The 26,660-nt window shown below is 41.2% G+C and overlaps 1 protein-coding gene across 11 annotated transcripts in view, besides 1 other annotated feature; it reads left to right on the top strand.

The window, feature by feature from the left end:
• Positions 1-26,660, top strand: part of PPARGC1A (PPARG coactivator 1 alpha) — a 680,885-nt gene that overhangs the window by 53,285 nt on the left and 600,940 nt on the right. The gene's annotated exons all lie outside the window — the stretch shown is intronic.
• Positions 5,764-6,465: an enhancer, noted in NCBI's record as "NANOG hESC enhancer chr4:24414779-24415480 (GRCh37/hg19 assembly coordinates)". NCBI's record gives its function as "activates a minimal SCP1, AML or CMV promoter by ChIP-STARR-seq in primed H9 embryonic stem cells {active_cell/tissue: H9 hESC(primed)}" and the evidence as "EXISTENCE:reporter gene assay evidence [ECO:0000049][PMID:30033119]".

The following is a 26,660-nucleotide window of genomic DNA, read 5'->3' as shown; positions in this document are numbered from 1 at the left end:
GCTAGGTGGCACTGCAGCCATAAGGAAGTGTGGTCACAATTACATAGTTCGGCTGTGGCATTAAGGAAGTTCTCCAAGGCTGAAATTGGGAGAGGGCAGCCTTTTCATCTCTGTGTTTTTCGGGATTGTAGGGTTCTTTGGATTCTATTGCATACTTTGTGTATCTAGGATGCTGCTAAGGGGAAGGGGATTATTTGTTTAGGGTGTGATGTTTCCTGGGTTTGTGTTGTTGCATAAGACACACACACACACACACACACACACACACTTGAAGATTTGTTAGGAATTGTGTTGGTCAGGGAGTGGGAAGTGAAGGGCAATATCACACTTCCGTGGTTTCTGAGCAGAATGGTCTGTTCCAACTGAGCAACAGATGGCGTCCTGACCTGTGTGCCTTTTTCTTTGGTGTTCATCTGCTGGAAATGTTCTCAGTAGAGACGACCAAAATTCTGGAAGATGCTAAGTGTCATAGCATCTCTCTTTGTGCCAGCCCCCTCTCCTGCTTCTTTTCCCTCTGTTTTTAACCACTAAGGAAACAATCATTATCCAAAAGTATTTTTTTTCCTTTTTGAATAGAAGCTAAGTATTTGAAACCTAGACACCTTACTATTGTCCCAGAGAAGAAAAGAAACCAACAAAGAATCTACTAAGAGTGTCAAAGAGTGAAAACTGAATAACAGCTACACAAGTTACTCTGAAAATAACAAGAATTCTGGCAGATGATTAGCAAAAATATTTCCTAAATAGTGAAAGATGAGGAATTGACTGACATTGAGGTGTGTCTGGTGAAATTAAATTTGCTGTTAAGTGACTTGAAAAGAAATGTGTGGAGGGTATGTTGGTAATTAAATCAGCAAACAATGGGATTCATAATGAAAATGGTAATAGCTATGTTTATAGAGGTCCTGCTATGTTCCAGGCATTTTTGTATAATTACTTAATCTTTAGAATAGATCTTTGAAATGGGTATGATCAAACTCTTTGGCACATAAGTAAATGATAGTGTAGCTAGGTTCATACCTGGCCTGGGTTCTAACACCTTTAAAAGCTCTAATTAGAATTAGGTCTGTTAGAGTCTAACACTTGTGTCTCGGTGTTTAGAAAATGACTTGATAATGGAACATAAAGGCAAAGAGAATGTCTGTGTTGCTTCTCATTGCATCTCCAGGACCTGCCATAGTGCTTGGCTGGCTCATGTAGGACTTCAGTATACATTTGTTCTACCCATAGATAAATGCCAGAGAGCTGGAAGATTCCATGGTGTTTAATTAGAACACTAGTTAACGCTTGATGTAGCGAATGTAATAACAGCTTTAGATGTGGATGGCCCTCTGTTGCTTAGAAGAACTGGAATACACTTTATTTCAGCTCACTCAACCTCAGACGCCAAGTTCTATGGGGTGGGGAATATCATTGAATTTTACGAAACAAAGAAGCTGGAACTCTGGAGTTAAGGAAGCTTCCCATGGTGGCTGCACTTGTTGAGTTCAGGTTTTCTCACTTTAGATTTAAGGGTTTTTAAGGCAGCTCCAAGTTCACAAAAGCCCACACAATTTTTTATTAATTAAAATGACATATAATGAATAATATTCTTATTATTTTTATGTATATATAATAAATATTCTTACAGAAAAAACAAAATAAATAGTCTGATGGTGGAGGGTTAGTCTTATAGCCATATAGAAGTCATTTCACTTTAAAAAGTATGTTTTTGAACTTTTACCTGCAGTTTTTATTTGAGAAAAATTAGAAGGTACAGATGAGCAAAATGAAATATGCAACCACTCATCTTTCCTTTTAGAAATTTATATCATCTATAAATTTTTTCTATACATATATGTTATAAAAAGATCATGTTTTATAATTTGCTTCTGAACTCAATATAATGTATACATCTTTATGTGTCGACAAATTATTTCTACATTGTAACCTTTAATGGCTGCAAAGTGACCTGCTAGATGAACATATCAATTTATGTAACCAATACCTTGTTGCTGGACATTTGGGTTGTTTCCAGACTTTTGCTATAATAAAGCAATATTACAACAAGCATCCTTCAATGTGTATCTTTGTGCAATTAATCTTGACCCATTGTTTTATAGGGGAATTTACATACACCCAGAGAGGTTGTGAAATTTACTTGCTAGGCAGAACTTGGACCAGATTTCAGGGCTCTCAAATCACTGACAACTGTTTTTCTGCTTCATCAGTGAGGTTTCAAAACCTATCTGGTGGCTGTGGCCATTTCTTCCCAGGGGAAGGAAGGGATTCTTGGCATGTGCTGGGAGTTGTTCCTCAACAGAACTGAGTTACCCCTACAAAAGAAAAGTCAAGTTTAAGAAAAACAAACTGGAGAAGGTGATTTGACTGCTTTAATACTGTTAATAGAACTCCCTCTTTAAACTCTTTTCTTCCTTTTCCTCTGTAACTTTACATTCTGTTTCCTCCCTGCTTCTCTGATCTTCCTTTCTTCTTTCACTTCCTCCCTAACTCCCTTCCAACTCTCCTTCCTTTCCTACCAGTTGTCACTGTTACTTGAGTTCCTATCCCCAAATTTCTCCTTTTCCACTCTTTCCCTTTTTTTTTTTTTTGAGATGGAATCTCGCTCTGTTGCCTAGGCTGGAGTGCAATGGTGTGATCTCGGCTCACTGCAACCTCCGCCTCCTGGTTTAAGCGATTCTCCTGCCTCAGCCTCCCGAGTAGCTGGGATTACAGGCAGACGCCACCATGCCTGGCTAATTTTTGTATTTTTAGTAGAGACGGGGTTTGGCCATGTTGGCCAGGCTGGTCTCAAACTCCTCACCTCAGGTGATCCAAATGCCTCAGCCTCCAAAAGTGCCGGGATTACAGGCGTGAGCCACTGTGCCAAGCCATGTTTCCCTGTTTTTAATGGCTTCATCTATCACTTCCAGACACATGACTCCCAAATCTAAAACTTCAATCCTGATGCCTCTCCCACGGGCCAGTTCCATGCTTCCTATCGACAGTTAGATATTTGCGTTCCTGGGCCCAGGACTTCTAATTAAAGCTTCTCATTTCCACAGCCAGAGTCTTGAGTCACCTGATCCCTTCGCCTAGTCTCACACATCTTGCCAAGTGCAGTCAGGTCTTTGTCTCTGGCCCTCAGCCCTTCTCTCCCATTCCCACTGCCTATGCCCTAATTCTGGCACTCCTGACCTCTTGCCTGGACTATTGCAGTAGCCTCTCACATGGTCCCGTGCCTCTCTTTTCTCCCTGGCAAATTCATTTTGCACAGGCTTGGCACATTTATCTTTTGAGGTCACTGCTTTGATTGATCCACACTGTATACTAAATAGATTACAAAGCTGTTAGCCTGGCCTTCAAGAGTCTTTGTAATTTGACCTTAAGCTACCTTCTTAGTCCCATCTACCCTGGTTCTCTAGCATAAGACATTGTGCTTCCGTGTGTCTGGACTTCTTGAAACTTCTTTAACACACTTGCCTCGTAACTGGCTCTGAGCCTTTCTTGGATCACTTCCTGGGCCTGAATTGCCTGTATCCATCTGCATTTTAAGGTCTTAAAACACGATTACCACCTCTTCCATGAAGCCTTTCCTGATTCCTTAAGCCCAAGGTAATTTTTAAAAAATTAATCACGACCCCTTGCTGGCAGTACAAAACATCCATTGTAGCTATTCATGTACATGTTTTATGTCCCACTGTACATTTTAATCTCCTCATGGGTAGGAGCTTGTATCTTTCTCAAATCCCTGCAATCTCACTCCTCAACCTTAGTATAAGTGTTATCCCCATACCAGATTCTCCAAAAACTATTTGTGAATAAATAATTTTAGATTTAAAACATTTTACATAAATTTATAACTAATACAGAATATTTGCAGTATACAGCAAAATTACGACGAACATCTCTGAATATGTAATTAAGAACTCTCTGTTCTTCAAGCAAAACAAACTTTATATGTATTCGTAATTGCCATTACTTATCAAACCCTCTTCTTTCTCAGTGTTCTGGCAACACATACAAATGGGATTCAGAAATAACTTCTCAGAAGGTCAGTAGAGTTGGCTGGAAAGGTCTGCTTTTGTAAGTGGGAACCCTTTTCTTGTCCTTAAAATATACTCTGCCCCATCCCCTCTAGAAGAAAGGTCACAAGACTAGAATCAAAACCTTTGGCCTCTGCTACTTATAAACTGGTATTACCCTGGGCCACTTCTCTCATTTGTAACATAAGGTTGCCTACTATGTTACTTAAGAATTGCTGTGTGGCTATTGGTAATAGACATTTGATATGGTGGCTTGAAAATGGAATGATTTATTTTTCTTTCTTATAAATAAAGTCTGGAGATAGTCCCTAGCTCCACAACTATCGATGACCCCAGCTCCTCTTCTCTGTTTTGCCCCTTAGTGTGTGGCTTTCTTTTCTTTTCTTTCTTTCTTTCCTTTTTTTTTTTGACAGAGTCTCACTCTGTCACCCAGGCTGGAGTGCAGTGGTGCGATCTTGGCTCACTGCAACCTCTACCTCTGGAGTTCAAGTGATTCTCATGCCTCAGCTTCCCAAGTAGCTGGGATTACAGGTGCATGCCACTGCACTCAGCTAATTTTTCTATTTTTAGTAGAGACGGGGTTTCACCATATTGGCCAGGCTGGTCTTGAGCTCCTGGCCTCAAGTGATCCACCTGCCTCGGCCTCCCAAAGTGTTGGGATTACAGGCATGAGCCACCATGTCCGGCCATGGTTTTCATCATCAAGGTCAGCCTCATAGACCAATATGGCTGCTTGTGCTCTAGCCATCATGTCAGCATTCCAGCAAGAAGGAAGAAGGGTGCAAGGCCACCCCCTCCTCCTGAATAATCTCTCTTCAAGCAGTTTTAAAACAAATTATCCAGAAGTTGTACCTAACAACTTTGGCTTAGAGCTGGTGCACAGTGCTTCTCAGCACCAGCTGCATACTTGAAACACAAGGGGGCTTTAAAAAAGTACCTATATTGGGCCTCACTGCAAACAAATTAAATCAGAATGTCTATGGTTGGGGTCAGGACTCAGTATTTTTAAATGACCCCAGGGGATCCAATTGGATTGTCGAGACTGGGGACCACTGAACTAGGGTGATCATATAATTTATCATCTAAATGGGGCTGTTCAGAGTGAAAGGAGCATAAACCAGGCTTATCCCAGGTGAACCTAGAGGTACGGTGACTCTAATTATAGTTCATCCTTTGCCCCTATCTATCAGGTGGCTGGACACATAATTTTCTACTGCTACTGCTCTGGAAGGAGAAAAAGAAGAGAATAAAAGATATTGGTTAGGCACCCACTATTCCTTTCCATTTCATTCTCATTTAATTCTGCCCAAAAGCAAATGTACCCAGGCTTTTGGGCAAAATTAAATGAGATAAATGTACATGAAATCGCTTTGTAATCTGCAATGTTTCAAAGCTATGTTTATAAATAATATCATCATAATTTAGCACAAATAAGTACATGTGATGGCTAGAAGGAACCCAGTTTGGATCCTGTAGCTTGTGTTTGATTAATTTAGTGCTTTATGGTAATTAACAAATGCTTACTGGGAGACAGTGTCTCATGGTGGTTTCAGAGCATGGGCTTTGGAGACCGACAACCGTGGGTTCGAGTCTCACTTTTGCTTTTTACCAGCCTTGTCATTTGACTTCTCAAAATCTCCTTTTCAAAATCCCGGTAGTATTTCTTGACTCAAGGGGTTGTTGTAAGGATTAAAGACATTTAACATATGGGAAGGATCTAATCTGGGGCCTGGCATATCGCAAGCATTCAGTGACTGGCCTCTCATTATCATTTATAAGATTACTTTGGGGGATGCTGAGAAAAGGTCATCTTTTCTGCTTTTCAAGAGCTTAAAATATCAGGGTCTTCTCAGGCTGATGTTGGGCAAGAGATCTTTCTCCTCTCCTCTCCAGCTGCGAAGCCAGCAGCGGAAAGAAGGAATTGCAGATTCAAACGGTCTTCTTGTTTCCCATGGCTCCTTTCCTAAATGATCCCTACCCCCCCACAAGGATCTGGGTTAAAATACCAGTGGGGATCCCAGCCGGCTAAAGAAGCTAATAGCCAGAATTAAATTAATTATTTCGGCGACTTGATCCACACTTTGGGAGATTTGTGCATTGAAATAACCTTTGCCTGTGGCGATTTTGTCTCTGGGATTCTTCCTTCTGGCCACTGTGTTCCTGGCATAATCTCCCTTTCCATCTACTCAGTTGGTAACCTGTAAACTTTCTTCCCTGGGGCTTGCTCCTCTAATCTTGCCTTCCCCGTGTTTGGCTGTAGTCTTGTCTTCCTTTATTCATTCTGCGTTGCTTTTATCTCCTTACCTTTCCTCCTGCTGAGTATAAACAAACCTTAAGGCAAAAAAAAAAAAAAAATGAAGCCAGGCAGGATGCTGCTTAGCTCCCTTGAAGGGGAAAACACAGTCTGAATCTTAGCGACAGTACTCTTTACTGTTGGCGGAGTCAAAATTCAATACTTCCTATGTGTAGCATCACTGCCTATACAATGCTAAAATGTCTGGGAAAGTAAGAAAGAGAATTCTATGGGGAGGAGGGCCATACAAGAAACTGCCTTTGAATATATTTTCTCATTTGTTGGTTGAAAACCATTACGAAGCCTAGGATTTTCTTCATTGAGAGGATGCTTCTAATCGGGTCTGATTCTTCTGTGCAGGGTTGGCAAACTATTTCTGAAAAGTGCCAGATAGTAAATATTTTATGCTTTGCAGGCTATACTGTTCTAGTGGCAACCACTCAACCCAACTGGCACAGCAAAAAAGCAGCCATAGATAATGGGTAAATGGTGGGTGTGGCTGTGTACCCATAAAACTTCACCAGCTGGGCGCGGTGGCTCAGGCCCTGTAATCCCAACGCTTTGGGAGGCCAAGGCTGGTGGATCATGAGGTCAGGGGTTCAAGATCAGCCTGGGCAACATAGTGAAACCCCGTCTCCACTAAAAATACAAAAAATTAGCTGGCCATGATGGTGGTCGCCTGTAATCCCAGCTACTCGGGAGGCTGAGGCAGGAGAATCGCTTGAACCCGGGAGGTGGAGGTTGCAGTGAGCGGAGATTGAGCCATTGCACTCCAGCATGGGCAACAAGAGTGAGACTCCATCTCAAAACAAAGCAAAACAACAAAAAAATTTTATTTACCAACAATGGAATTTGAATTCCATGTAATTTTCACATCATTAAATTTATTCTTCTTTTGTTTTTTTTCCCCCTAACCATTAAAAAATATGAACATTGTTTTTAGTTCATGGGTTGTGGAACAATAGGTGGTGGGTGAAATTTGACCTCTGGGTAGGAGTTTGCTGACCTCTGCCCTGGTGAAATGGAAGGAGCATACTGATTGCAGTTAGAAAACCTTGGTTCCAGTCATTTCACTCGGAGGCTGGACTGTTTCTTCATTTTGAATATCAGATTAAATGACAACACCAAATTCTGGCAAGGATGTAGAGCAACAGGAACTTTCATTCATTGCTGGTGGGAATGCAAAATGGTACAGCCACTTTGAAAGACTGTTTGGCAGTTTCCTACCAAACTAAACATACTCTTAACATATGATCCAGCAATCACGCTCCTTGATATTTACCCAAACGGAGATGAAAACTTATGTCCACACAAAAATGTGCATATGGATATTTATAGCAGCTTTATTCACTATTGTCAAAACTTGGAAGCAACCAAGATGTCCTTAGTAGGTAAATGGATAAACTGTGATATATCCAGGCAATGGAATATTATTCAGTGCTAAAAACAAATGAGCTATCAAGCATGAAAAGACATGGAGGAAACTTAAATGCATGTAACTAAGTGAAAGAAACCCATGTAAAAAGGCTGCATACTCTGTGATTCCAACTATATGACATTCTGGAAAAGGCAATGTGATGGAGACACTAAAAAGATCAGAGGTTGCTAGGAGTTACTGGGGAGGGAGAGATGAAGAGATGGAACACAGGATTTTTAAAGCAGAGAGACTATTCCGTATGATACTACAGTGGTGGTTGCATGTCCTAAAGCATTTGTCAAAACCCAGAGAATGTGTAATAGCAACCGTGAACCCTAATGTGAACTATGGATTTTGGGTGATGATGTGTCAATGTAGGTTCACAGATTGTAACAAATGCACCACTTTGGCCTGGGATGTTGATAGTAGGGCAGGCTGCACCTGTGTGAGGGCAGAGGGTATATGAGATCTCTCTGTACTTGCCACTCTATTTTGCTGTGACCCTAAAACATCTCTAAAATTATAAAACCTATTGAAAAATAATGTTAGTGATACCTGCTCAACTCACAGCAGTGCTGCAGAGCTTATGAGTTAATTGTAAAGCACTGAGTAAATGGGAAGCTGCTATCCAAATGTTAGTTACCCAGGACAGTCGGCTTCTCTTCTTCCTCCTGGGGTGTCCTGAGGAAGAAGAGTCTGGAGGAAGAGCTCTTGAGTAAATCATTTCTGGGTACCTCTTGGAGATTCACAATGTGCACATTAACATTTCTGAGAAGAGTTGTCATTAAAAACAGCCGCCACCAAATGCAAAAACCTCATTAAGCTTGTTTAACCTAACATTTCCCAAACATATATATGATTTCAGGATAGATGTATATATGAGAGGGAGTTTATTAAGGAGAAGTGACTCACACAATTACAAGATGAAGTCCCACAATAGGCAGTCTGCAAGGTGAGGAGCAAGGAAGCCAGTGGTGGATCAGAGTCCCAAAACCTCAAAAGTAGGGAAGCCGACAGTGCAGCCTTCAGTCTGTGGCCAAAGGCCTGGGAGCCCCTGGCGAACCACTGGTGTAAGTCCAAAAGTCCAAAAGCTGAAGAACTTGGAGTCTGATGTTCGAGGGCAGGAAGCATCTAGCACAGGAGAAAGATGGAGGCTGGAAGACTCAGCAGGTCTAGTCCTTCTGTGTTCTTCTGCCTGCTTTATTCTAGCTGTGCTGGCAGCTGATTAGATTGTGCCCACCCAGATTGAGGGTGGGTCAGCCTCACCCCGACCACTGATTCAAATGTTAATCTCCTTTGGCAACATCCTAACAGACACATCCAGGAACAATACTTTGCATCCTTCAATCCAATCAAGTTGACGCTCAGTATTGAACATCACAAGCATTAATAAATATAAATTTTTAAAATTAGTTGGTGGGGGCAGGAGTCTGCGGGCACTCTTTGGGAAATGCTAGCCTAAGGCATTTCAATTAATACCATAGAAAAGATGAACACACGCAAAACTTTTTGTATTCTATTTTTCCATTTGTTATATATATTTGTATATGTAGGAAAATACGTGTATGTGTATCCATACACATATGTGTATGTGTATATATAATATTCTATTGTTATTTAATGTTACCTTTTATGTTGTTATGTTTTATTACAAAACTATGAGCCATTGGCAAATGTGTGAATGTAAGCTGACTTCTTAGATTATTTTATTAATTATTTTCACAATTTTTTCAATAGTAACAGACCATTGAAATGTAAAGACAAGTTAATGGAGGAATCTGCTTCAGTTACGGATACTTGGCTTTTTCCAAACTCACTACATAGAGCTGTACGTAGAATTGTAGTTCTTGATACAGCAGTACACATTTGAGTGGATTAATTTATTAGTGAAGTTAATGGCTTGCTAACCTCTTTGGTTGTTGTTTGGGAGAATTATCAATTATCCCACAATAGATGCACATTTTGCTGTCCCCTCTGTGGAGTTGACCACAGCAAAGGGCAGGTTTGTTTACCTCCCATTGGAGCACACATGGTTTTCTGGTCCAAACATATACTCTCTGGATTAACAATCACATGCAGTCATGTAAAACCCCATTTTTGATGACCTGGGTGGTGAGCAAATATCTTCTCAAGATGCCCCACACCCCAAAAATGAGCCATGCACACCCTACATGTCTTATAGTTTAGTCAGGCCACCCCAGCACATCCTCCCTGGTGAAGAAACATCTGTCCAGCTCCTGAATGTAATTGAGAAAAGAACAGAAATTTAACATCATTTACATGGTAGGTAGATGATCTATAGTGATATAATATTGTCAGGGCCTTAAGAGTAAATAATTTCTTTTTCATTACAGCTTGCAACACTAGTATCTGTGATTTTGTAGCACTTTCCGGTGTACACTGTCCCTTTAAGTATTTAGGAATTGGGCAACTTCATCAGGAAAAAAAATTCTTTGCACATAAAGCAGTGAAACCCAGAGATGTTGAAGAATGTGCCAAAGGAATCTCAGCTAGGAGAAGGCAGAGCTGGGATTTGAATTTTACTCTTGACTGCAGGTTCTTTTAACTCCATTTACTGTCTTCTTAAAGATGGACATGCTGAGGTTGGACAGGTAATAATGAATTACCAATTCTGCACATTAAAATAACATCTGTGATGCCTACCACATACACTAACCTAACAGCTAGTATTCTTTTCTCTGTAGTCTTCAAACTTTGTCTTGACAAATCCAGAGATCTTAAAAAAACAACTTTTTATTATAAAACATTTAAAAAATATTCAAGATTATAGAGAAGAATATAATGACTTTCTATGATCCAGCTTCCCAGTGTTAGCCTTAGCAGCACGTGGGCAAGCTTGTTTTAACTCTACCCCCCTCCTCAACTGGATTAATTTGAATATCCCAACTATCATATCATTTCTTCTATAAATCTTTAAGAACACATCTTTAAGAGAAAGTTTTCTGATTACCTTTTCTGCATAACAAATTACCTCCAAACTTGATGGCTTAAAACAGTAGTTTGTTGTTATGTTTCGTGTTTCCGTGGGCTGGCTGGGCTCGGCAGGGCAGTTTTCGTCTGGGGTCTCTAATGTGACTATAATCAGATTTTAGCTGGGGCTAGAGTCATCTAAAGATACCAGTGGGCTGGATCTCCAGAGTGGCCTACTGATGTGACTGTCAGCTGGGGACTCAGGTGGAGGTGTCAGCTCTTTAGGTCCCACAGATGGTCTTTCCATGCTTTTGGGCTTCTCCCAGCATGGCTGCTGGGTCCCAAGAAGAAATATTCTAGGAGCAAGAGTTTCAAGACACTTGTGTAGAAGCTGCAAGGTTCTCATGACCTAGGCTTAGAGGTCGTAGAGAAGCAAGTCACTAAGGCCACCTCAGATCCAATGGAGGGGAATCAGATTGCCCCTCAATGGGAGAAGCAGCAAAAAAATTTAAGAACAATTATTTGCGATCACAATATTCAATTAGTGTTTGAACTGACCCAATTTGAACTGTTGCTATTTTATAGGTTTTTTTTTTTTCAAAGCAGTATCAAAATGAAAATCTACACATGGCATTTGGTAGATATGCCTTTTGTGTTTTCTTTTATTCTAAGATATTTCCTGTCTTTTTTTTTTCTTTGTTTGAAATCTACGTGTTGAAGCAGCAGAGTAGTTTGTCTTGTTGAAATTTCCATGGCCTGGATTTTGCTGTATGTATCCATGATGTTCCTCGGTCCCTTTTATCTTCCTCTTGTAAACTGTTGGGTCCAGAAGCTCACTCAAGTTCAGGTCCAAGATTTTGGTAGAAACACTTTGTGGGTGGTGGTGTGTATGTCTAATTGCATCACACCAGGAAGTACAAAATCAGTTTGTCTCTCTTTGGTGATATTAAAATTGATTTTTAGATTCAAGTGTTGAATCCAGAGCTCCTTACTCCAAACGAGGCCTTTTAAGAAGAAGATTTTAAGTAGCTGTCTCCCATTTTGCAGGATCAGGAAATGAGTTTGGAATGAGTCTATATTTATGTATCTATATCTGCATTTACTGTGTGCTAACTATGTGTCAGGCAGCATTTCAGATACTTTACATGAATTAATGGATTTATTTTTCATAACAACCCAATAAAAGAGGTACTACAATTATCCCTATTTTATAGAGGAAGAGACTGAGGCTCAGACCCCCTATGTCCAACATTCAAACAGCAGATGCCTTCTGTTTAATTCTCATTTCCAAAAGGGATTAGTTCTTGTTTCCAGGATTCCTGGGGGAAACCAACTTAGGTCTGAGCGAAAGAGAGCAAGGTCAATGGGAGGGTGAAATGAAGCAGTCACAAATTTAGTTGCCTCCTCTTAAAATCGATGTCACTGGACTGGATCTGGGAGAATGCAGATGCTTGTGCAGCAAATTCTGCCCCAGCTTCCCAATGTTGGAGAATGATTGATTTTACCAGAACATTCTCCCACTCATTGCATTATTCATTGTGTAGTGGGGTCAGCAGGGTGTGGCCTGCTACCTCTGTAAAGGAGGCAGGGATGACGCCCTCGTTTCATGTTAGTGCTACTTGTTTTACCCAGACACTGGGTGCCTGCAGGAGGCTCAGAAATGACAATTTTATTTTAAAGAAAATATTTTCAAATGCAATTTGCAGTTTATACATGAAGAGTAATGAGCAAAATGGATGCAGCTGTCTTTTAAATTAACCCTGCAGTGCCACCCTGTTTTGCTTTCCTACCAAAGTGATAATGTAGGCAGCTTTTGTGCCTTTCGTGAAGACTTTGGAGGCCTCCGGAGCTTCAGAGAGAGTGGAGGTGGTTCAAGAAATACATGCATGTCTGGTGGTGCCTGGTATGTATCTATGGCCACCATAGCTGAAAAAGAAAAGGCTCAAAAGAACAGAACCCAAGAAGAGCACAGAGAAAGGTTCCTGCCTGAGAATGAGCAGCAAGAGGATACTGATCCCTGAGGGGCCCTGGTAGCAGGAACAATTCCCTTTCTCCAGGGAACATGTTTGAAAGACAGCATTTCTGGCCTCTCTGAGAGCTATTTCAAGCCATCTTGGTGCTGGATGGCCAGGCTCAATGTGGTCTCAAACAGATTCACTGCTTGTCAATCTCATTAGGTTGTTCTCTGCCTTTTCATGCAGATATGCCCACACTGCTGGAGCTGCTAGCTCTAACCTCAGTAGAAGACTCAACATTTTGGAGACCTTGACCTTCCACTGTGGGCATGTGTATGCTCAGCTCTGTGGGTCTCTAGGACGTGGCATGTTGGACAAAGGCCATTTCTTAACAATGTTTGAAAGGGAGAGATGACTAGTTCCAATTCCGAAGTGCAATTTCTTGGCATTTCTAGCATTGACGTTTAGTTATTTTAAAAGACACTGAGTGACTTAAATCAGCATAATTCCAAATCCCTTTACACAGACAGAGATATGCAGACACACTCACACAGTTTAATTTGATATCCAGTACTCCAAACAGACACAATAATGGTGCACTCGACTTAAGGAAAGAAGACACCTCGCCAGAAGCACAGGGACACAGGTTCCCAGGAAAATTCCATGTCCAATGAAGGAGATAGGATTCACTTGGGGGTAGGTGATGGCTTTATTTACATGCAGCCTAACTTCTTGTGGGAAGATGGCTGTGGCTGCCACATGCAGTGTCCAAGTTAACTTCAACATACTAACCACCCAGGGCGAGAGTATTTTTACTGACCAAGCAATTGCCTCATTAAGAACATGATGACATTTTACGTGCAGCACTGCAGTCATTGCTGGCTTCTTAAAATACTTTTCTGTAGCGTGTGCCTTTCCCATGGACAAAGAGCCCTTGTGTAGCATTTCTTTGCCTGGCATCTTGTGATTTAGGAATCGAACCTTAGATTCTGTATCAGAATAGCAGGGAGGAAAACGAAGAAATGAAGGAAGGGAAAGAGAGAAGTGAGAGTGGGGAGGAAGAAAAGAAGGCAAGAAGGAGGGAAGGAAGGAGGGAAAGAAGAAAGGAAAGGAGGAAGACAGAAATGGAAGAAGGAAGAAAAAAGAAAGGGGAGAGTGAAGAAAACATGTAGAAGCCTTATAATAACCCTAAGACTGGGCAGTTCGAGTTGAGTTGAATAAATCATTGTTGGAAGATTTTTTTTTGTCCTCTAATGTGTTCTTTCCTAACTTAAGGGGATTGGCCATACTGGCTGGTTGGAGGCTACCATTGGATCCATTCTCACCTTGGGATAGCAGTTCAATGTCTCAGGCAGGACAGAATCCCCAGCCGTGATGTAATGGGAGTTTCTACCTCATGCTTGTATGTCATTCACAGGCGTGGAGCACCATGGGAGCTGCGCTAGATTGATGTCCTCTCCAAGAATAGCACTGATTATAGAACAGATTTTCCCATATACAGAGCCATTTTTAATTCACTGCCTACCACAGCTGCCAGCCTGCGGAGATAATTCCTTCTAGCAGAATAGCTCTAGATTATTATAGGGAAATCAAATTTGCATAAAAGCTCTCGCTCTTCTCTCTCTCAAGTTACTAAACAGATACTGTCAATTACTTTTGTTGGAAAAACTTTTTGGGGGGAGGGGAAAATACTTTTTCTTTTCTTGAAAAAAAAAACCACCTTTTCATACAACTTAGAAAGATTTTGAGGACTAGCAGTTTGTGTGACATTTTGCATTTAATACCTGCTTGACCGTTTTCAAAGTGCTTTTCAGTTCAACAAACTTTTAATTTCTATTTTATTTTGATTGACTATTTTATTTTTATTTTATTTTTCATCCCTGGGGACATAAAGCCCTTGTTTTTGAATAACTTATTTTATTTGATTCATGCAAAAATTGTATGAAATTAATTAGGCAGGCATCATTAAGTCCATTATGCAGATGAGGAAACTGAAGCCCAGGGAAGTGTAAGTGACCTTTTGAAAGTGTGCGTAAGTGATCATTGAAGGATTCAGAACTGGAACTTAGGTCTTCAGAGTCTTATTTGGGCTTGTTGTGTAGTACCGTGATATTACTCAGGAGGGAAAAAGCTGCAGTCACAAATTGGCAGTTTGAAGTTGCTTGAATTTGACAATATTTAGAAATAAGAAGGTCTTCTTTCCTCAATCCCAACTCTGCCAAAGAAAAGGACTTTTGGCTTCTCTTGAAAAATATAAAATCTGGCAACATCGAGCCTGTATTCTATCTAGGTAAGACTGAGTTGCCAGTGGCCACCATTTGCCACGTCCTAATGCCTGAGAAGTCACTCATTTAGTTTGCCAACTTTGGATCAAGAAGGCCTTGAGTTGCCCCCTCTGCTGAGAGAGAATAAGGATGTTAGTACCTTATACTGGGGACAGCATTCTTGCACTGTTTTTAATATATATCTTTCAGTTTCTCCATGCCTTCGCTTATCAGCTTTTAAAAAGAAGTTGGCAAGATCCTCCCTTGTGAGTTCCCAATCCTGATGAGTCAGGATTTGAAGACTCACTAAAGATTTTTACTTTATTAGCCACTGTACGCTGATATTCTGCTTGTGTTTTTAAGAAGGCTTTCATGGCTATTGTTCCCTTAAATTGCTTTCTGTTTTCTGATCTGTTCTCAGCCACCCTTTGTTTTATTTATTTATTTTTAATTTATTTATATATATATTTTTTGAGATGGAGTCTCACTCTGTCACCCAGGCTGGAGTGCGGTGGCGCGATCTCGGCTCACTGCAACCTCTGCCTCCCAGATTCAAACAATTCTCCTGCCTCAGCCTCCTGAGTAGCTGGGATTACAGGTGTGTGCCACCATGCCCGGCTAATTTTTTTTATTTTTAGTAGAGACAGGGTTTCACCATGTTAGCCAGGATGGTCTCAATCTCCTGACCTCATGATCCACCCACCTTAGCCTCCCAAAGTGCTGGGATTACAGGCGTGAGCCACCTCACCTGGCCTCAGTCACCTTTTAAAGGGATGAAGAGTTTGAAGGTAGAATTCTACCTAGCCTTCACTTTTGCATTTGAGCCTTAATTTCCTGATTTTGTGGGCAAATTTTTGTGCTGTGTCTAGATTCTTCTTATTCGGAAAATGAGGATAAGATTATTATAAGAAAGAGAGAGAGAGAGATGATCAAGGTTTTAAAAATTCCTTAGATATAAAGTGTTGCTAAATTCTAATTTACTGCAGAAGCTTAATTAAATCATTTGATTTAACCATGGAAGTTACAGGTTAGACAGATCACCCAGGAATGGAAAAACAACATGAGCCTAAGAGATCTTCTGGGGAAGTGATTGTATCCAGCGGGTATTTTGTTTTGAGACCTACATTTCTGGTATCTCTTTCTGGTCTTATGCTGTCACATTTCTGTTCAATCAGAGATGAGGTGACAATCTGTCCAGGGTGCCGCACTGGGTGGAATGCTGTGCTGGGTGGCCTTTGCATAATTCTGCAATTCTGCAATTCTAAATCTGGGGATTCTGTTCCTCACCCACATCCTGAGAAGGTGGCTGCGAGTACGCAGTGTGATTTGATTTCAAAGCTAGCAAAAACCTTCTTGGCCCCAAATACTCCTATTTCTTCTCAGAGCTTAACGTTCCACTGAAGTTGTGCTGTTTTGACTTTAGGCTTTGATTTTGTGTTAAAAATCACAGTTACCAACCTTTCCAAGTACAGTGATTACAAAACCCATTCAACCACCTTATCTCATTTCATCTTCATGATAGCCGTGGGAGGTGGGAGAGTGGCATTGTGTCCTTTTGGGGAAGAGAAATAGAGAGGAAAAAGTAGGATTTGGGAGCCAGATAGGCTAGGTTTGAATCCCGCTGTAGCACTCATTAACTATGTGACCTTGAACAGGGGATTTGGCTGCTCTGAACTTAATTTCTTCTCCTACATACAGAGGATTCAAATTTTACTTTACAGCAGTTGTAAGGATCAGAGCGAATATTTTCACTCGTTCATTCATTAATTCTCCAAGTATTCATTCAGCCCCTAATGAGAGCCAGGCATCATACTAGGCTGTGGGGATACATTAGCAAATGAGACAGATGCTGTTCCTGCCCAAGTAGGGCGTACAATCTAGCACCAAGCATAGAGCTGAGCACATAGTAGGTCCTCAATAAATGATGCTTGCTATTTGTGGGCAGCCTCAAGGTGCTTGGTGAGTAGGGAGCAGAGTGAGGAGCCAAGCTCAGATTTGGAACCTCTGTCTCCCAAGTGTTTGGCTGGTGGGCTCTGTCCACTAGGCCTCTGGGGAAAGGAAGCTCATTGTTGCTACATTTGCCGTTTTATTCCAGTCCTCATCTCTGGTGTGTACTGTCTTAGGACAAACTGTGACCCAGCTCTGGGCTGAGCCCTGGCTCTGGTGTTTAATTATCTGTCCTCGGGCAATGTACCTGACCTCACTAATTCTCAGGTTCCTCATCTGCAGAGAGGACATAGTGACAAACCCATGCCTCATCGGATTGTCATGGGGATCAGATTAAGACGTTCCTGTCACATGCCTAGCACCACCTGGCCAATGGAAGTGTTTGTTAAATGGCGGCTGTTGTTGCCGTTTGGGCTCTCAAACAGCTCGCATGTTGGTTGGGGAAGACACGGCAGCTCCCCCTTCTGTCTTGGCGATCCTTTCCTGTCGCTGGGGAGACAGCTGTAGCAGCCGCTGCAGAGTCCAAGAACCCTGAGGAGTATCTCTCTCCACCGCTCAACCATTGGTCCACGTCCGCCATTCTGCAACAGTGCTGTGCTGTGGCAGGTTACGGAGTGGGGTAGGATGGAGTCAAGCAGGCCAGAAGGCCAGGCCTTTCCTGTATTCTGCTGCCACCTCAACCAAATAGAGTTCTATTCAGCAGCGCTTCCCTTGACTGGGGTGGGGCGAGAGCACTTACGTGTGCAGATGAAGCTTCAGAGCAGCCGCGGAGTGGGTGCTGTATTTCCATTTCCCTCTTTATGTCAAGGGTCTGAAGCCAGACTGCCTGGATTTGAGTCCCAGCACTGCTTTTTACAAGCTAAGTAATTTGACTTCTTTAAACCCCAGTTTCTTCATCTGTAAAGTAAATAATAGCCAAGACTTACATGTTTACTGATATTTACTATGTTCCAGGCACTTCACATGTACCAACCCACTCACCTCTCATCAGCCTTGAGTTACCTTCTATTGTCATGCCTATTTGTAGATTAGGAAATTGAGGCATAGAGAGATTAAGTAGCTTGGTTCAAGGCAAATGACAGCTGCGATTCTATCTGTGCTTTTAACGACTCTGCCATGCTCTTTCCCCAATAGGATGGGATATTAAGAATTTATCTTAAAGGGTTTTTGTGAGGATTGGATGAGATAAGAGGGAAAAACTGAGCATCAAACTTGGCACATAGTACATGCTCAGTAAACATTAACCATCATCCTCAGCTCTGAAGGTGGGTGCGGTTCTTTCTCTCTGGAGCAGTAAGCAAGCTAGAACATGAAGTGTGGAGAATTCTTCGTGGACCTTGGACTCATGGGCAAACGTGTTCATTGGCCCGATAATGGAAGTTTGAAACCTAATGTTTGTGAGTGGCACCATCATAATAATTACTGTCATACCCTCATGACAATGCTAATATTTTTTGAAAATATCAGGTATGGCCGGGCGCAGTGGCTCACGCCTGTAATCCCAGCACTTTGGGAGGCTGAGGCAGGCAGATCATGAGGTCAGGAGATCGAGACCATCCTGGCTAACACGGTGAAACCCTGTCTCTACTAAAAATACAAAAAATTAGCCGGGCGTAGTGGTGGGCGCCTGTAGCCCCAGCTACTCGGGAGGCTGAAGCAGGAGAATGGCGTGAACCCGGGAGGCGGAGCTTGAAGTGAGCCAAGATCGCGCCACTGCACTCCAACCTGGGCGACAGAGCGAGACTCTGTCTCAAAAAAAAAAAAAAAAAAAAAGAAAATTCAGGTATATTTAAAGTACCTACTTAGACCTGATACAGGTTCATATGTTCCAGATACAAGTAAACAACTTTGAATCATGCCTCTTTGGAGTTTTAAGTTTAAAACAAAGAATGCTCCATTTGTCCTTCATTGATTTTAGTTTCAGTCACTTGGCATATCTGCCTCACATTTTACATAGGTGCTTTTAAAAATCATCACCATCTTCGTCACCATTTTCATCATCCTCCCCACCATCATCCTGACAGTCTTACGATGAGCTAGGTGCTAAGCGCTTTGACTGGGCCAGCTCATTAAATTCTCACATTAGAACATAAAATGAAGGTTTCTGCAAATTAGACACCTACAGATTAAAGCAAGTGTGTCAATGTCATTGCTGGCAATAGTTACAACACAGGGAAGGGGAGAGGAGTGTTGTATTAGTCAGGGTTCTCTTAGAAGGACAGAACTAATAAGATATATATAGATATATCTCCTATATATGGGAGTTTATTAAGTATTAACTTAGACAATTACAAGATCCCACAACTGGCTTTCTGCAAGCTGAGGAGCAAGGAGAGCCAGTCTGAGTCCCAAAACTGAAGAACCTGGAGTCCAATGTTTGAGAGTGGGAAGCATCTAGCACAGGAGAAAGATGTAGCCTGGCAGGCTAGGCCCATCTCTCTCCTTTTCACATTTTCCTGCTTGCTTTATATTCGATGGAAGCTGATTAGATTGTGCCCACCAGGTTAAGGGTGGGTCTGCCTTCCCCAGCCCTCTGACTCCAATGTTAATCTCTTTTGGCGACACCCATCCAGACACACCCAGGACTAATACTTTGTATCCCCCAATCCAATCAAGTTGACATTCAGTATTAACCATCACAAGTGTATTTCAGCTCTTTGAATACTTAAGAATTACTCCATAGAATATTTAAAGAGATTCCTCCCCCAGGTGTGGTGGCTCACACCTGTAATTCTAGCATTTTGGGAGGCTGAGGCGGGGTGGATCACTTGAGATCAGGAGTTCGGACCAGCCTGGCCAACATGGTGAAACCCTGTCTCCACTAAAATTACAAAAATTAGCCAGGTGTGGTGGTGTGTGCCTGTAATTCCAGCTGCTCAGGAGGCTGAGGCAGAATTGCTTGAATCCGGAAGGCAGAGGTTGCAGTGAGCCAAGATCGTGCCACTGCACTCCAGCCTGGGTGACAGAGTAAGACTCTGTCTCAAAAAAAAAAAAAAAGGAGATTCCTTTGGTGTAAATGTTCATATGCTTCAGATAATAAGATATGATGAACATCAAAATATTGGCACTCTACTGGTACCCATTTCCAAAATATTGTCTGGTGGAAATGAGTGTTCGTATTTTGTTAATATAAATATTTAATAAAAACCTACAATGTTCTGGCCCCTGGATGTTATCCCACATCCCACTTTCTCTGCTCACCTGTGGAAGTTCTTGACTTACACATAATGTCCTTTTGCTGTGGTGATAAATTAGTTAACTTCAGTCCCAGTGAAGTGTAAGGTTTTTCCTGGAGCTGCCTCTCCATGCTGAATAATTTTTAGTTATGGAAAAAGCAACCTGTCAGAGAAATTTTCAGAACAGTTAATAGGTGAAATTTCTCCCATTGTGTAGGGATAGGTTCATTTGTACTTAATATACTTTTTTCTCATTATAAAAGTAACATCAGCCTAAATTTCCAATTGTGGCTATATAGTGGGTTGCCCAGGTATTCTGGTAAATGACCTCACTCAAAGGACCTAAGAATGCTAGATAAAATATAACTAACATATTTTCATGACATCTGCAAAAAAAGTGAGTGAAATTTCCAGGGACTAAAAACAGATAGGAAGGTGGAAGCTTGGCGGGAAGCATAAGCTGAGTTTTCGCTGAGAGCATTTGCTGAGAACAGGGTTAGATTCTTGTGCTTTGACTGGGGACCGGAAACCAGGCTTTGGGCCCTTGCAGTGTGGGAAGTTGAAATCCTAAAATACAGCTGGGACCCTTGCAGGGCTACATTCTCTATAAAAAAGTATATTAGTAAAAATAAATCCTCCTGTTGGCCAAGAGAGTTATTTTAGCTTTACCTCTGGGTGGGGAAAATATCTTCTTCCTAATATTTTCACAACAGCCCTGCCCTCATTTGGCTTTGGAGGTTGAAATTCTCCTGCCTGAGAGATCTGGAAGAAATCTTGATTTTAGAGGTCCTGGATTGGGGTGCTCAGAGTGCCTAGAAGATGTGGAGAAATGCACATTAACCCCTGGAGAAATGCACTTTAACCCCAGGCCCTCTGGCATCCCACAGTTTCAGATCAGCCTCATGTGATCTTACAATCCAGGATTACAGACACATGAAGAATGTAGTCATCTTGTATTTAAGAATCAAGGGAAACACAAATAGCAGAATGAGAGCTGCAAGTACTTCATGTATTGGAGTTGTGATGCTACAGAAAAGAGGACATGGTAAATAAATTTAGAATGTTCAATGAAAGAAGAGAACTGAAAACATGAACAAAATTACAGACTAATCCCAAATAATGTATGTATCAAAAATATATCAGAAAAACTAGTAAGATTTAAAAGAAGACCAAGTATAACATCTAGAAATAAAAATAGAATTATTAAAATTGAAAGTAAAACATTCTGTTTGTAAGAAATTTGAAAAGAATAATGGAGCCACCATAAATTAACTATTATTCTCTCACTCAGAGGCCAGAAATGTTAATTTTTAAATATAATCTATTCTGTTACATATAAAGTATTTCTGTGTATTTTATAGATCTGCTTTACAGGTTAGACATAGTCTTCCATATGAGTATGATTTTATATGCTATCTTTTTTTCTATATAATAATCATTTCCCATCATTGTGCTATATATGTTAATAAAGAAATTCCACAGTGTAAATGTTCTTATAAAGTTGGATTTATTTATTTGCTATTATAAACAATTCTGCAAAGAGCATCTTGACAGAAGCGGCTAGGTCTTGTTAAGGCTTAGGCTAGGAATTGGCAGTGTCACTTTTTTCAGAGTTTACTGGTTTAGATGAGACACATGGCAAGCTCATATTCAGTGTAGGAAGGGACTATATAAGGATGTGAACACAGGGAGGCCTGAGTCAGTATAGACCTAGTTACCACATAGCCTTTTAGTTTTCCTCTTTTTATGTAAGTACTAGCATTTTATACACTGTTTTGCATCTCGCTGTTTTAAGCAAAATATTTTGCACTATATTTGCTATTAATACTTATGTTGTCTGCAGTTAGATTTGGCTGCAAGTAAAACTTCAAATTACTGTGACTCAAAAAGGTTGGAGGTTGTAGGTGCAGATCTTTCTACCTTGTTGCTCCACCACATCTGACTTTCATTTTAAAACCACCTCAACAACCAAGATGGCTGCTGGAGCGCTAGTCATCCGTTCCAGCCAGAAGGAAAGAGTGAGCAAGAGGGAGAAGAAAGTATGTCTCTTTTTAAGGATATCACTTGGAATTTGCACCCCTCATTCCCACTTACATTCCTTAGGATGGAACACATTTACAGAGCCACAGCTAGGTACAAGAGAGACTAGAAAATGTAATCTTTATTACAAATGGCCATGTACCCAGTTAAAAAATTGGGGATTTATTCCTAAAGAGGAAGGGGAGAGTGGATATTGGAGGATCATAGTACATTATAAATCCTCCTCCTCATGTTTGCATCTCAGTGCAAGCATAGGACTTTTAATGTATTCTTCTACATTGTTTTCAGGAAAATTGGCCGGTTCCAGTAGACTCAGAGGCCTCATTTATGTCACTCTTATCAACGCTGGGTATAATAAGTTTTGTAATATTGTCAGTCATTTAAGATTGCGTCATATTTTAATTTACTCTTCTTTGATTACTAGTGTGTGCTGAAATTTTATTCTATAATTTATTAGCCATTTATTTTTTATCTTTTGTGTAATTTTGGTTCACGTCTCATGTGCATGGAGTCATTTGGCTTAGTTGTTTTTCTTAACTGTTTGCTAATCACTTTATTCTAAAGTTATTGACACTTTATCATGTTAATTGTAAAGCAGAAAAATTGTGTTTCTGAGAGTCTTGGAATAGAGGATGCATGAGAGTACCATTTTGTAACTGGAGAGTGATGAAAAGCTCTCCTCATCACACCAAAAGGGACCAGGATTTGTGCAAGTTCTGTTTGAGTCTATAGACTTCTTTAGTGTTTTAGTTGCAGAAATTAGAGGACCTTTTTATGAAGGAATCAAAAAAGCCGAAAGGGAATAGAGAAGGGGTACCAGGGAGAGGGTTAGATGCTGTGTGTTTGAAGTGTGAGCTGTGGGGAGCAATGCGGTGCTCTTTGCCCCCTAAACTGATAGCTAGGGTTCTCTGAATCCTGCTTGCTCAGGTCTCAGAAGAAAAAAAAAATGGGAGACATCCTAAAATAGGAATTCTTCTTTAGCTGGAGAAGATTTTGATGATACCATCTATCTATTAGAGGATGCTTCACAGACAGCCATGTCGGCATTCTTTCAGTTGTGAGCATTTTGTGAACGTTGTGGCATTTGATCTGCCCAGGGAGGTCACCCACAGGAAGGATGCTATGGGAGTACTTTAGTGCTGGACTATAAAGGTCACGAGTCAACAACTCTTAGAGACCTTCTCTTAGAGACTGGGGGAAGCGATTTGCCTAGCACTCCCCAGCTCGTCAGCTGCAGAAGCAAATCTAGAATGAGCATGTGTAAGTCATATACTGAACTACCATATTCCTTGACGCGCTGCTGCCTCTGAGCCGCCCCCATCGTCCTGCACTTGCTCTAAGGGTTTGGACTGCACACCTGCTCTGGAGCAGGTTGGCTGCACACTGAGTCACCCTGCTCCCTGGTGGCTCTACCTGAGAACAGCACTGTCCCCGGCACCCTGATGACCAAGGACCCAGTGTCTGCCCGGCTCTGCCCCAGGAGATGTGGGATCAGTAACAGGTTGAGTCTCTCGGACACCTGTTGCATCTTCAGAGCACTAGAAGGAGGTGAGCAATGGATTGAAGGCCAGTGTGAAGGCTTGGAAGACTGATCAAGAGTGAGTTACCAACCAAAAATGAGAAGGTAGAATGCAGGTGGAGAGAAAAATAATGTAATTATTTTTTAAAGAATATTGTTTTTTAGTCATGTGGAAGCATGGAGGGGCAAGGTGAGCACCACATTTGGAGCCATACTTGAGCTTCCTTCCAGGCCCTGCCACTTACAATGGTGTGACATTGGACAAGCTCCACTGTGTCCTCCCTGAACCTCAACTTCCTCTTCCGTGAGTTGGAACAGCAATGCCTGTCTTAACTCCCTGGCTTGGTGTGAGGCTCAGATCGTGTCCCAGCTTGAAAACACCTGGTGTGGTAATCCACAAATTAAAGAGATGCTGCTCTGTCCGTTGGAAGAACAGCTTCCTATTTCCACAGTAGCATGGAGATAGATAATTCCACATTTTGTCTTCAGAATGATTCACATTTACAGACTTATTAATGTCCAGGAGGAGCCTTGGAACAGAAAATCTCATGGAGCTTGAATCTGGGGTTGTACATTGACCAACCCAAATGAATCCAACCATATGGACCCCAACTTATTTGTCAGTGATCAGTCCTCATATACTATATTATTTAAGTGAGCATCAATCCACTGATGTGATGATGATAACCTAAGACCTGTGGGCACTGTGGCTCTTTGGGTATAATAAGGAAAAGAGGACAAACTATTTTACTAACTGTATTACCACTGATAATATTAGTTACACATAATAATTAGCTTTCATTAAAAATCAGTTTGGATTAATCTAGGCGGGGAAATGCTCAGGGTCCTTACTTTGAGTTTTCCTTTGGGAGGGTTTTTACATATTGAAAAATACAAAGAAGATGCTACAGATAAACCAACAGAAGTTTTGGAAGTTTGTTATTCGTCTAAGGTGCCACAGCTGGTGAGTGGCAGAAGTAGGACTTGAACCCAGGTATTTCTAGCTCAGGTCTGAACCACTGTTTTATGTTGTCTTATCTCAAGAGGCTGACAATTTATAGCTCTAGTTATATCAGGAAGGACATTGTACAAGATATGCTTTTTCATTGTTTTTGAAAACCAATTAACTCCCAAGCTCTATATTATTTGCTTTTAAGCAATAGTGATTAATAATGTGTCTCACTGATTCCAAGCCAAGCATTTTTTCCCCCACATTTTAGCATCTCTGAAATTGGATGCTTCTTACAAGTGATGGTGTATCATCATTTAATTGGCAGCATTTTTCTTTCTTAGTGGCATATAAAATAATGGTGCATCTCACAATTGATAGCATCTTAGATTTGATAAAATGCAGTCATAATGACTTGGTTCATGTAAAGGACGGAGCAGTATGGAAAACATACAGCGTGCAAGCGTGGTACCATTGGGGAGGAACATTTACCTATTCTCCATCCCTTCTCCTATTACTTTAGTTAAGATGCTTGGCTTATCTCAAATGAGCTGATCTCTTAGCTTTTCTTCTCTTCTCTGTTCAATTATCTTTAGTACCACAACCAGCGTTTTCTTCTTAAAGATCTGTCTACCTGAAATGACTTCTTAGCACCTCAAGTGAAGGTCGTGAAGTGCTAAGCATGAACTTCAGGGTCCCTAGACGTGAACTTCAGGGTCCATACAAGTTACAAATCTGCTTTCTGCCTTCTCTCTCCTTGTATCCTTCTCTCAGCCAGCTCCTTGGATCTCATGGTTTCCCAGAGTGTGGGATAATGACTCAAAATGACCTTAGGTGGTACACTAACATGGCCGTGAGTAAACCCGAGTTACCACATGAGTAATTTATGCAGTTTAGAATTCTCTCTCACCCCTTTGGAATCCCTTGAGGAAGAATTCTTAGTTGCATATGGGGGAGTCATTAACATATTGACATTCTCACTTTCTTTTGTAGCAAAGAGAAAGCAGGCTCAGACAAAGTATTTAGCTGGAGGGCCATGGTTTTGTTCTCATTTATTATCTTTACAGTTACTTCTTACTTGGGGGAAGTGACACTGGGCTTTTATTTAAATTAGTGCCATAAAATTTCTCTTTAACATATATATTTTTTGTAGAAACAGGGTCTTGCTATGTTGCCCAGGCTGGTCTCAAACTCCTGGCCTCACGCCATCCTCCTGCCTTGGCCTCCCAAAACATTGAGATGACAGATGTGAGCCACTATGCCCGGCGAAAATTTTCTTTTTTATGCCATAAATTATTCTTTAAAAAAACTATTTCAGTAAAAATGGAGTCACTTAAAAAGAACGTTAAGCAAATACTAGTACAGATGACACAAGGACGTGGCAAGAATTGTGCATGTGGTACTGACGACAGAAATGGGGCAGCAGGAATCTGTTCCAAGTGTTTTCACTTCTCTGTGTGTTTGCCCATGCTGTTCCTTAATCCTAAGTGCCCTTTTCCCTACTCACTAATAATGGAACTCCTTTGCATCCTCCTTTATGAAGTCTTCCCTGATCCCTCTAGTGAGAGTTAATCACGCATGCCCATAGGACATTGCTTAACAATTGATTTAATACTATTACCATGCAGTGTGCAAGGGTGCGTATGTTATGTTATTCTTGTCTTAGTTATCACAGGGCTATATTCATATGCCTGTGTCTATTTTGATTGGAAGCCTTTTACAGGAAGGGGCCGTTTCTCAATCTATCTCCGTGGCTTCTTCAATGGCTTCTATGTGGCTATAGAAAAGAATGAATGGATGGAATTGAAATTCATGTTCACAATTATTTCATGCAATTTCCCCTCCTCCTGCAGATCTCTAGCTTGGTTTTCAACAGCTCATTTGCTTGACTCCCATTTCAGCTGCAGCATAAGTAGTAGTTACTGAGGCCTTTGTAGCACCTGCATTGTTCTTCAGCATAAATATTTTGCCAGGAAGTTTGTAGAATCATCAGAAACCATTCATGAGCAAGTTAACCCTAAGGTAAGGTAAAGCCAAAGAAAGGCCAGAAAAAGGGGTGTGTGTGTGTGTGTGTGTGTGTGTGTGTGTGTGCTGATGGAGCAGTAATCCATGGGGTTTAGAGCTGTACCATCTGGTTGACTTCG

The sequence above is a fragment of the Homo sapiens genome, chromosome 4 (genome assembly GCF_000001405.40).
Source record: "Homo sapiens chromosome 4, GRCh38.p14 Primary Assembly".
NCBI classification, from domain to species: domain Eukaryota; kingdom Metazoa; phylum Chordata; class Mammalia; order Primates; family Hominidae; genus Homo; species Homo sapiens.
This window is presented reverse-complemented; position numbering and strand designations above follow the sequence as displayed.